General features: G+C 49.7%; 1 protein-coding gene across 22 annotated transcripts in view, besides 2 other annotated features; it reads left to right on the top strand.

The window, feature by feature from the left end:
• Positions 1-12,277, top strand: part of CHST15 (carbohydrate sulfotransferase 15) — an 85,931-nt gene that overhangs the window by 28,750 nt on the left and 44,904 nt on the right. For 2 of the 22 annotated variants that reach the window (XM_047425324.1, XM_047425328.1), the window contains exon 2: positions 904-1,108. The exons of 18 other annotated variants lie outside the window; for them this stretch is intronic. The gene's annotated coding sequence lies outside the window, so the exon portion shown is untranslated. Of the gene's footprint in view, positions 1-583; positions 645-903; positions 1,109-12,277 lie in introns of those variants that run through there. 2 more of the 22 variants (XM_047425327.1, XM_047425329.1) reach the window with 2 other exon arrangements.
• Positions 4,334-5,009: an enhancer, noted in NCBI's record as "H3K27ac-H3K4me1 hESC enhancer chr10:125819356-125820031 (GRCh37/hg19 assembly coordinates)". NCBI's record gives its function as "activates a minimal SCP1, AML or CMV promoter by ChIP-STARR-seq in naive H9 embryonic stem cells {active_cell/tissue: H9 hESC(naive)}" and the evidence as "EXISTENCE:reporter gene assay evidence [ECO:0000049][PMID:30033119]".
• Positions 7,503-8,031: an enhancer, noted in NCBI's record as "H3K4me1 hESC enhancer chr10:125816334-125816862 (GRCh37/hg19 assembly coordinates)". NCBI's record gives its function as "activates a minimal SCP1, AML or CMV promoter by ChIP-STARR-seq in primed H9 embryonic stem cells {active_cell/tissue: H9 hESC(primed)}" and the evidence as "EXISTENCE:reporter gene assay evidence [ECO:0000049][PMID:30033119]".

The raw sequence follows: 12,277 nt of genomic DNA, 5'->3' as shown, positions 1-12,277 counted from the left end.
CCAGTGTGGTCTGGGGTTTCAGGGAAGGGGTCCTTGCCTGAGATCTGAAGGGTGAGCAAGAGCGAATGCATCTAGCAGGGCCAGTGGTGTTGGGGAAAATGGGATCTGGCTAAGGAGGCTGGGAGAGGCAGAGATGGACACACAGAGACAGCGAGATAAAGGCCGCCAGCAGGAGTGGGGGCTCGGGGGTGGGGTTGGGGGGATGCAGTGCTGCAAGGGGGATTGAATGTTCCCAGGTACAGCCCAGCAACGAAGAGGGGCTCAGGGCTTGGGGGACCTGCCCAAAGTCACAGAGTGGGTATGGTTGTTTCATGATCTCGTGGTGTCTCCCGGGCCGCAAGCCCCACAGCGCCAGGGCTGTGCCTACGCTGCGCACCCTGAATCCCCATGGACTCCCAGTCAGGGGCTTGCGTTCTGCTCCGTGGCCACTGCTGTACCTTTGCAAGGATGGGGAAGGCCTTGGGGATGGGGAGGCCATCACACAGGCACTTTGACTGCATCAAGCGAAATTCTTACTTAATCTGAAATGACTTCAGGTCTGAAAACTGTGTGCTTTGATCAAATATTTACTTTTCCGAAACAGAAACCAGAGCAGGTCTTGATTGTACCAGTCAGCTTGAACCAGTCAGCTACAATGACTTTTCGTAAGTCTATTTTTTTTTTTGAGATTTCGTTTTAGCCCAGGAGGAAATCTGCTATCTGCAAGAAAGTCCTGGCCTTCATAATGAGGCCTGAATTCTTTCCAGATCTTATGAGAAAGATTCCACTCTTCTGTGATTAATTCAGAGAGGTTACTAATTTCTCATACCATAGATCGTTTGCTTTGTGGGAGATGACTGTGCCTCAGCCAAGATCCACTTATTATTTTTTGAACAAGTTTTTTTTATTATCATGTTTACATAGCACTGAGGACACAAAACAACGCTGGAAGCTCAGCTGTCTGATTCATACGCTGTATTGCTGACTCTCACTTCTCCCTTCCCCTCTCTACTCTACCTCTCTGCAAAAGAAGGCTTTCCTTCCAGAGCTGGCAGCTGCCCCTGCTTCTTGACAGGATGAGCAAGACAGCGGTGGTTTAAGCAAGGTCTTCGCTGTGCTCCGGAGAGATGTGGGTATTCTGGGGGAACATGCCTTTGTTATAATATTTATTGAATGTTCACTTTTCCAGCTCTGAATACTGAAACTTAGTGAGATTTTTTTTTTCGAGCCATGCCCCATCAACACTTTTAGGTTGTCTCTAATGGAAAAGAGAAAAGAAAAAGATTCATTTTTGATGGACTGGGCATATCCAAGTTCAGTGTCTTGGGTGATAGGTCTATAAATAAATACTTGTTTGACCTATTTTACAGAGGTTGGAAATCTAGATTCTAGATCTGAGTGGAGTTATCAGAAACTAGGTCTGTTATCTAAAAAGCTAGAGGAAATTGACAAGGAGAAGGAGGGTCTGAAATGACCTTTTTTTTTTGAGACGGAGTGTCACTCTGTCCCCCCAGGCTGGAGTGCAGTGGTGCGATCTCAGCTCACTGCAACCTCCACCTCCTGAGTTCAAGCGATTCTCCTGCCTCGGCCTCCCGAGTAGCTGGGATTACAGGTGCCTGCCACCACGCCCGGCTAATTTTTGTATTTTTAGTAGAGATGGGGTTTCACCATGTTGGTCAGGCTGGTCTCAAACTGCTGATCTCAGGTGATCCACCCGCCTCGGCCTCCTAAAGTGCTGGGATTACAGGCATGAGCCACTGCGCCCAGCCTGAAATGACCATTTTTTAATTAGTTTCTTGTCTGGATCTCTCTCTCTTTGCCTCCTGGTGTCTTGGTGGGACCAGCGTTTTCATGGCCACATCAGGGTGGAGAAGGGCTCTCTCCCAGCCTCTCCAAAGCAGTTTTATTCAGACATTGCTGGTCTGCATGCAGCTTTAGCCAAGCCCCCCAACTCTTGAAAATGGGAAACTGCTTGATGAGTGAATGTGAAAGTACATGTCCCCATCCTCCATGAGGTGAGAGGTCTTCAGCTTGCGTTTAAGTCCAGCCCTGCCTCTTACTTGCAGTGTGATTTAGGGCCAGCCACTTCACTGTCAGAGCCTCGGGCTCCCTTCATCCTTTTTAAAAGTATTCGGCCACTGATTCCGGCTCGGCTGGGTCTTTATACACCAGGCCAAAGTCCTTACTGTTGAGCTGAGATCCTGTTTGCAGAAACGGGAGGGAGGAAAGAAAAAGAAATGAGGCTGCTGGTGGTGGTGGTTGCCGTTTGTTGAGCAGTTGGAGTTGGCAGGCACTATGGGCATATTTTTGTGGGGATTTTCCCGTCTAATCTCCACGCCTGTCCATGGGGTCGGTACTGCCGTTAATCTCCCTGCTACAGATCAGCGAAGGGAGGCACCGAAGTGCAAAGCAGTTTGCCCGAGGGCACACAGCCGGTAAGGGGTTGATACAAACCAGATGGCACGTGTGGATGTTCACCTGCCTCTGGGTTTTGGCTTTTCATCTTTCCTCCCCGCCATGTTTCTCTTTCCACAAGGGTATGTGCCCGTTCCTATGTGCCCAGCAGCTGTATGGGATGAGATCCTAGGCTGCCTCTGTCAAACGCTCTTTGGGCATTGGTGAACATTCATAAAACAGCATCCTCTGGGGTCACATTGTCCCTTTTGCTCTTGGACCTGGAGTTCCTTTGGTCTGTGCGTGTGTGTAAAGATGCATGCCCACTCCAGGGAATTCTGTGGTCTGCTTGGGGTTTTCCATTGCAGTGGCAGAGAAGACAAGGGAAAATGTCCTTCCCGGCTGCACTCCCAGGCCTGTCATTTGGAGTTGAATGGTAATAGAAGGGTTTTTTTTTTTTTTTTAATGATTTATAGTATGTCTGGAGGAAAGATGTTATTAATTCAAAGATAACTTGAGAAAGGAGGGGACACAGTGCAGCTTGGACAGAGCTTCCCACTGGTGCTTTGCGCAGTCTTTAGCCCACCTCTGCCTTGCCTTATGTGGTCCTATGGCCTCATTTCAATTCCCTATTTCACCTGATCTGACGAGGGAGGCAAGGAGTGCATGCATTTTCAACAGATAAAGAAACTGAGGCTCAGAGACGTGTCTTACTGGACGTGAACTCACGTCCTGGAGGCCTAGGCCCAGTCCGTTTTCTATTTGCCACACCATTTTTTGTGCAACATTTATTATTTTTTCTTTATTATCTTTGTAGTTACAAAAGTGATGCTTGCTCTATGTAAGTAAAATTGGAAGCAAGATGGAATGTGTAAACAGAAAGCATAGCCCCCCAAATGCTACCCACAATCAACAATGGGAAACTGTGTGGGGAGTGTATTAGTCCGTTTTCACGCTGCTGATAAAGACGTGCCCAAGACTGGGAAGAATAAGGGGTTTAATTAGACTTACAGTTCCACCTGGCTGGGGAGGACCCAGAATCATGGTGGGAGGCAAAAGGCACTTCTTACATGGCTGCGGCAAGAGAAAATGAGACAGAAGCAAAAGCGGAAACCCCCGATAAACCCATCAGATCTCGTGCTTATTTACTATCACGAGAATAGCACGGGAAAAACCGGCCCCCATGAGTCAATTACCTCCTCCTGGGTCCCTCCCACAACACGTGGGAATTCTGGGAGCTACAATTCAAGTTGAGATTTGGGTGGGCACACAGTCAAACCATATCAGGGAGTGAATGTGAATGTGCATGTCCCATCCTCCATGAAGTGAGAGGCAGTTTGGGCTTCAGCTTGTGTTTAAATCCAGTTCTGCCATTTACTTACAGTGTGATTTAGGGCAAGCCACGTCACCCCACCCAGAGCCACCGTTTTCTTATCTGCACAATGGGGCGATTACACCTACCTTTAGCGTTGTCTAAAAGTCAGAAAGAGATGAGAGGAAGCAGGTTCCCAGCTTGATGCCTGCCATAAAATGGCAGCTCATCCTGGTTCCTTTCCCTTTCTCCCTACACCAGTGCTTCTCAAACTTTCCTCTTCGTACTCAAAGGTGAAAGACAGTGAGAGCTCCCTGGGGTTTCCCAGGCTGGCCCCGACAGCTTGCAGCCAGCAAGGCAAGCTGGATCTCTGCAAATTTTGTGTCAGTTAGTATATACGTGGATATAACTTCATTTGAAAACAATGTTTTCAATGTTTGAAATTTCGAATATTTTAAACATGGAAGCTTCAGTTTGTCTTACAGCTTCATACAGCTCCTGGCTAACCTCTGCACACTGGAGGTAGAGGGGCTGGCACACCTCCACATGCCCACATGCCCCTGGGGGAAGCACACCTTTGCACACTCCTGGTGGGGTTGGCACACCTCCACATACCCCTGGGGGTCTGGCACAACTCCACACATCCCTGGGGGCCTGGCACACCTCCACACACCCCTGGGGGGCTGGCACACCTCCACACACCCCTGGTGGGGCTGGCACACCTCCACACACCCCTGGTGGGGCTGGCACACCTCCACACACCCCTGGGGGGCCTGGCACACCTTCGCACATTCGGGGGGGACACACCTTTGCACATTCCTGGAGGATCCTGGCACAACACGTTTCTGGGGGGGCAGACACACCTCTGCACACTCACTCCTGGGGGAGGTACACTTCTGCACACTCCTGGGGGCGGGGCTGGCACATCAAACACTCCTGGGGAAGACCAGCACACACGGGGGAGGGTTGGAACACCTGTGCACACACTGCATGGGTGCTGGCACACCTGTGCACACACTGAATGGGGGCTGGCACACCTGTGCATACACTGCATGGGGGCTGGCACACCTCTGCACACTCCTGAGGTCCCTACAGCCAAGCTGGGTTGGTACTGGAGCTGTTCTCCTCACCTCTTGGCAGGCTTAGTAAGGGCTGGGTCTGTCTGGGGGCAGAAAATGAATGTCAGCTGACTTCAGGTGACCCCCTGGAGAAACTCCACTCGCCTGGCTCTAAAACCCTCCAGAGGACCTCGCCATTTATTTGGGTTGCTTGGTCTTTCCATCAGAAAGAAATAAATTCCAATGAAGGGTTTTCAGGCCGTTCTTCTCATTGAAGGGTTAACCAGATTCTTATTTTGCTCATCTTTGGAAATAAAACAATGTTTAGAACTACCCGGATCAGCAAGGCCATCTGGTGGGGAGTGTGCAGCTGCTCCCCTTTCAGTCGCGCCGCCTGTAATGGATTCATTCTAGGGTGCATCGTGCATCTGCAGAATCATGATTTGCAGTTGGTTTTGAACGTGTGAGCTATGTGTCCATGCGAGACCTTTCTCCTCTGCCCGTCCTGAAGGACATCTGGGCCGGGCATCTTCCACTGTCCTGCAGCCTTTTCACTCTTCGTGAAGTCAGGTCAAAGTGGGCAAGGGGACTCTGGGGACCTGAGAGTGGACAGAGTCACCCTGCTCCTTCTGTCCTTAATCTGTAGTCTCTGTGCATTATACTCTGGGCTGCTGCTTTTCATTCATTTCTCTATCTGTGTCAAGGAAAAATTGTTGGACAGCAACTAGAATGTACCACTCATCTTTGTAGTCTAAATACACCACAGCCAGAATGACCCCTATTCTGAAAATGGGTCACTTTTTCCTGGTAATTGAGGTTTGATGTTGCAGGTGTTTGAGCCCCAAAAACGTGCAAAAAGAATAATTATAACATGTATTAAACATCCTGGGCTCCTGAGATCACTGCACCCATGGAACAATGCTGAGCCTTCCACATTGACTTTGAGATGAAGAGAATGAGGGTCTAAATGGTGAAGGGGTTTGCCTACTGTCATGTGGCTGGTTAAACCGTGTGGCCGGTGTTCAGCCTAGGCCTTGAGTCTCCAGTTCATCCCTAGGCCAGCTCGCTGTCCTGTATTCTGTAAGTCATTTGGGGGAGGAAGTGTATAGCATTACATTCTCTGGGCCACAGTTTCCCCACCTGTAAAATGTAAGTAGTAATTGTACTGTCCTCTTAGATTATGACATTTAAATAGAATAATCCATATCAACCCCAGCCTGGTGTCTGGACACAAGGAAGCCCTCAACACATGTTAGCTGGTGTCACTGTTGTTGTGACTCAGCAATAAGAACTCTGTTCTGGATATTTGCTGGATATTTGCCATGCTTTCTGGAGCTTGTTCCCTGACTCTTTAATTTAAAAGTATTTATTGAGCACTTACTCTGTGCTATTCAGGATTGAGCACTACTGACCCTGGCCTTTTATGAATCTTGTAGTCCAGCCTCGCCTCCTTACAAGGGAGACGGGTGGCCGGTGGGCTGAGTGATGGCTGACCGTGCTCCACTGTGAGCCTTGAGTTCTGAGCAGGTTCCCCTACAGCTGCCAATAACAGCTTCGTTCGCCTGCTGCAGGAGAAAGGTCACAGGCTTTGCAGCCACACAGACCAGCGGTTGGATTTTGGCCCCACCACTGGTGAGTCCTGTGACTCAGGGTTATGTGTTTAACCCTGCTGTGCCTCAGTTTCCCATACATGACTCGGGGAATCTCAGTGCTGACCTCAGAGAGTGCCTTCAAGAAGGGACCTAGCATGATCCTCTGCAAGTGGCAGACACTGGACTATCAGGCATTTCCTTCTTCTTTTGCCGCCAACCCTAAACTGACTCCGTGTGCTGCTGAAATGCTTTGCAGCTATATGACTGTCCTCGCTTTGTTCCCTAGAGCCATTTTGGTAGACGCGCTTCTCGGCACACCCTGTAAGCTCCTCTTGAGTGGCCTCTGCCTTATTGGAAAACCGGAGTCAGTAGATATACAAGCATGAGAAAATCTAGTCCCTACACTGGTGTGATTTACTACTGGAAATAATAAAATGAGCACTCTGAAATAGTTTTTCTCTCCACTTGGTTTCAGAAAAAATTATTGATTGTGTCACAAAGACCTTTAGAGTCTTTTGTGCACATTGAAATCATTGGGGGGGAGAACTGCAGCATGAACATATTTGAAGTCTCTGGTCCACCCTGCCCCTTCGCTGAGAAAACCTGATTATTTTGTGCATTTCAGAGAGACTGGGACATCTGCTGTGTTTGGCCCATATCTCGGGTGGTTGCACAAGGGAGGTGGAGCTGATTACCCTATTAGAGAGCAAGCTATCACAGAATAGGAAAAAGACCCCATTCTCCCTCCTGCCTGCCACGGCCAGAGGCCCTGGTTCACTGAATCACTGCTGTTGTTACCACGCTTGTTTGGCTTCCTGGAGCAGAGCTAGTTCTTCTGCAGATTCTCTGGGGCTGGGTGGGCTTCACGGCTGTCCTTGAAATGGGATATACAGTCCCGAATGTGGGCATTTTTCTGGAGCCTCTGGAGTCTTTGTTCTGGCGTTAGATGGGATGTTCCCAGAGGACCCAGGCTGTTCATTTATTTGTCTGTACGAACGGACACGCTGCAGCCCAGGCCTGTACGACTGGACACGCTGCGGTCTTTGTCTTTGGAGCCCCAGCAAATGCAAGCCCTGCACATAGTAGGTGTTTAAATAAAGAGGTGCAAAAGTGCGTGGGCCACTAATCTGGAGAAAACCCTGTGTCTCTTTTGGATTAATTATCTGGCTAATAAAGCAAGCGCTGCGCCGGCTAGTCAACGCTCACTGCAAAATCACTGGCCTCTGAGCAGCCCTGAAAGACATAACAGATGAAGATAATGAGTTTGTATTAAGGAGAAATTAACTTCAGATCATACACCCATGAGTGTTATGGCCAAAAGGGGTAGTCCCAAATCCATATCTTATATACGGAGAAACAGAGGCCCTGAGAGATGAAGTGATGCTCAGGGTGACCAGCCAGGTTAGTGATCAGGACACCAAGTAGCTCCCTGCCTTGCTGGGAAGGTCCCTCCTTTGCTGCTCTGAAGTTTTAAAATGCAAATTATCATGGAAGCCACCACCTGGGCCGCAGCGTGTCCGGTCATACAGGCAGGCCTGGGTCAAAGTGTGTCCGGTCGTACAGGCCTGGGCCTCAGAGTGTCCGGTCGTACGGGCCCAGGCTGCAATGTGTCCGGTCGTACAGGCCTGGGCCGCAGAGTGTCCGGTCGTACAGGCAGGGCTGGGTCAAAGTGTGTCCGGTCGTATAGGCCTGGGCCGTGGAGTGTCCGGTTGTACGGGCCTGGGCCGCGGAGTGTCCGGTCGTACGGGCCTGGGCCGCAGCGTGTCCAACTGCACACAGCCCAGGCTTCTTTGATGTGCGGGGACAAAATAGGAGTTGGGGGCTGCGCACCGGGGCCTGCCTCCTGTGCATGGGGCCAGTTCCATTCCTGTCCATTGTCTCAGCTGCAAAGGTAACTGACAAGGGACAGCCCCGCCTCTCCTTCCTCCCCTGCCCCTGCCCGCCTTTCTTTCTGTCCTTCCTTCCCCTGTCCCCACACTTGGCACCAGGCCAGCCTCTACACATCTCCGTTCCCCCATCCCTTGTCTCTGTCCTGGAGCTGTACCTGTCTCCTAGCACACTTTCCTGGCTGCAGGAGACAAGCCTGAGTGATGAATAGAGTCTGAATTGAGACAGGTTAAGACTCAATGCCCCAGGCCGACAGGGCATTCAAAGGAGATTGAAGGAGGTAGGGGAGTTTCATCCCATCAGCTGCCTCCTGGGATGCTTCCCTCACCTTCCTGTCCTGTGTCTCTGGGTGAGACTGCAAATCTGTATTCTCGGAAGGGATTCCTCAAAAGATTGGAAGGGGGAAGGGCACCAAGGGCCTGGAGAAGCCGCTGGACTGTCTGAGGCCAGGCCTGGGTGGTGGGGTAGAGGTTAGGATGGGCTCCCTCTTGAGGGATGGTGGAAGACTGAGTGTCAGGCTCCTGAGGCCTCTTGACCCATCTTTCTATAATGGGCTGCATGTCCTTGGGGAAGTACAGACCACACTGGCCTTGGTTTCTCCTCTATAAAAGGCAGGCTGGATGCAGGTACCCGCAGGTTTGTACTGGCAAGCTGATGATTTGCTGGAGCCCACCTGGGTTTTGCCCTGGGTCTGAGTGTACCCACCATCATTGTTGAGGGGTTCCGGGTGTTTCTTACTGTGAATGACTGCAGTAGAATCCTCAGGGATCCCAGGAGCTTCACTGTCTTGCATTTCCCATCTGTACAGCAGTGGCTGGTTTACCCTGGATCTTTGGGGATGGGTGCGTTTCTGGAAAGTTGGCCCTTGTTGTTGAGCACTGAAACAAGTTCTGGATGAGCATGGTCATTTGGAGGGGGGTGAGCTTTTCCAGAATTTTCCCCACAGCTGCGCCAGGCTCGCCAGAGCTACGGGCCCTGGTGACAGGGGTGCCCGAATGATCCTGGCCAGCTCAGCTTTTTAGTACCTTGTTCTACTGTAGAACTTGGGTGTTACTTCCTGCATCTGTGTGGCCACCTGCCTTTTCCAGGGCATCCCCTCAGATAAGTGGCAGACAGGAAAATTGGACACCGGTGTCTGGAATTATAATATATGCACACTGAAAGCAAGTAACCCTGGAGTGAGGACCCAAGGGTCTCTCCAGTAATAATGCAAGGAATCCGGGTCATTTACCGAGAGGCAGGGGAGCCAGAGATCACCTCCAACCCCCTCCTTGTGAGCTCTTACGTGGGCTCCTGAACTGCATCTAGAAGCCAACTTGACACCAGGCAGACAAACAAAAGGGAAGCAAACACACTTTGTTAGTTTTACCTGGACCTAGGAATCTTCACGAGAGAGTGAAGTTTGAAGGAGTGGCCAAAGCAAGATGTTTTTAGACCTTTTAGACAAAGAACAATCCATTTCAGAAGAGACAGAACAGAAGGGACCTGGTGGAGTAATATACATTTCTAGGGGAGTCTCTGGGAGATCTATGGGATGTGTAACGGCAGTGGAAGAGAAGGGTTACTTTGTGAAGTGTATTTATCCTGGGTCATTGCAGCCCCAAGTTCCCAGGCTGTGCTGAGGAGGGCCATTTTCTTGGCCTGGCAGGGGAAGGGTACTCCTCCCAGAGGAGTCTATGGCTTGGAGTATGCAGGAAGAGACAGGTCAGCTGGCCCTTTCTGAAACTATAATTTCTCCAATGTTTTCGACTCAAAATAATCAACATATCAATTTGGCATGTTTTGGGATGGCTCATCCTTCCACGGTGTGCGGGGTACTAGACTCTGGGTTAAGCATTTTGTGTATGTGACCTCATTTCTTCCTCACATCCACAGTAGGAGACTGAGATCATTTTATTCCCATTTTACAGATGAGGAAACCTAGTCACAGAATGGTTAAATTCGTTGCCTGAGATCATAGAGCAGTTACAGACTTGATTCGGGTTGAAATGCAGGTCTGCCCAACTCCCAAGCCTGGCATAATGTCTTATTTTCGACTGCTTGGAAACCATTTTTCCTACATCCCATCTTTCTACCAAGTTGAGAATCAGTGAGCTCAGGACGCAGGGGAGGCGCTGGCTGCATATTGTAGAGATCTGATCTTGGGGAAATGCCTGTTTATTATGGATATGGCTTATGGACTAAAACAATAGCATTGAATGTACGTTGTATGCATGTAAGGTAGTTGTGATTAACCAAAACCAATGTTGATGACGAACTTAACAGAGAGTCAAGTGTGCTTTAAAAATAAGCTTAAAAAACTGCCTGGGTTTTGTATGCACAGATTTTGGGCCAGCCAGGAAGATCCCTCAGGTTGTGGTTTGAGAATACCTGTTTTAGACAAAGCACGGGTGATGTGTCCCAGTCATCAGGAAGGATGAAATCTGGCAAGGAAACCGTAAGGATCAGATTACAGGAAGGGCTTGCTCAGGGAGAGGAAGGAAGCAAGGAAGAAATTAGTAACTGAAAAGAGGCAAGGAGGAAGGCCTCTTCATCAGGAGGTGGGGGAGTGTGGGGCAGTGGATAACTAAAACAAAACAGCTGTGGTTGTCATAAACACATTTTGTCAGAAAATAACCTGGTGTGTTATTTTCTGATGTTTCAGCCATTGTGTCTTGATTCAGGAACAGCTCCCTTCCGAGTTTCTTTTTGTTTGTTTGTTGGTTTTTGAGAGAGGGTCTCACTCTGTTGCACAGGCTGGAGTGCAGTGGTGTGATCACAACTCACCGTAGCCTCAACCTCCCCAGGCTCAAGCAATCCTCCCACCTCAGCCTTCCAAGTAGCTGGGACTACAGGTGTGCACCACCACACCCAGCTAATTTTTGTATTTTTTGTGGAGACAGGGTTTTGCCATGTTGCCCAAGCTGGTCTAGATGACCCTGGGCTTGAGTCATCCGCCTGCCTAGTGCTGGGATGACAGGTGTGAGCCACTGCGCCCAGCCTCCCCTCTGAGTTTCCATCATTACATTGGCCTATCGGCTGCTGGTGGTAGCCAACCTCTGGGAGGCAGAGGTTGCAGTGAGTAGAGATCACACCACTGCGCTCCAGCCTGAGCAACAGAGTGAGACTCTGTCTTGAAAAAAAAAAAAGAAAAGAAAAATCAACCCTTTATTATGTCTCTGGTGTCTTTAGGAATTGGCTGGGATCCAGCGGGTATTGGCTGCTCTGGGTGGGCTCAGCCAGGTGGCCCTGCTCCACCTGTCTCCCCCTCCTCCTGGCCAAGCAAGTGTGCAAGAGGACAAATGAGTACACAGGACATGTCTTAGGGCCTGGCACGTGCCAGCTTTAAGCCCACTTCTGCCTCATTCTGCTGGCCAAAGTGAGCCACCCAACTCAAACCGAAGGGTGGAGAAATACGTCACTCCTGTAGCTGAAGGCCCTCCAAAGTGGCAAAGAATGTGAACATGGGAAGAAGAAAAAATTGAGACCAATAATGCAATCTATGGTAAAGAGTAATAAATGACTATCAAATTCCCATTGTGGGCCAGGACTGTGCATCTGTAATACCAGCTAACATTTATTGAGCACTGACTATGGGCCAGAGACTCTTTTTTTTTGGCAGACTCTTGATCTGTTGCCCAAGCTGGAGTGCAGTGGTGCCATCTTGGCTCACTGCAACCTCTGCCTCCTGGATTCAAATGATTCTCCTGTCTCAGCCTCCTGAGTAGTGTGGATTACAGGTGTGCGCCACCAATCCTGACAAATTTTTTATTTTTAGTAGAGATTGGGTTTCATCATGTTGGTCAGGCTGGTGTCGAACTCCTGACCTTGTGATTTGCCCGCCTCAGACTCCCAAAGTGCTAGGATTACAGGCATGAGCCACCGCGCCCGGCCGGGCTAGACACTCTTTTAAGCACCTTACATGAATGAGTTCACTGAATGCTTACAGCACTGCCATGATACAGGTCCTGTGATTATTCCTAAGTCGTATCCAAAGAAATGGGGAGAAGAGACGTTTAATATCTTGTTCAAGATCAAACCTGGGCAACCTGGCTCCAGCACTCGGGCTCTTAACT

This window comes from Homo sapiens, chromosome 10 (genome assembly GCF_000001405.40).
Source record: "Homo sapiens chromosome 10, GRCh38.p14 Primary Assembly".
In the NCBI taxonomy this organism is placed as follows: Eukaryota; Metazoa; Chordata; class Mammalia; order Primates; family Hominidae; genus Homo; species Homo sapiens.
Note: the sequence above shows the minus strand (reverse complement) of the source record. Positions and strands in the feature narration are given on the sequence as shown.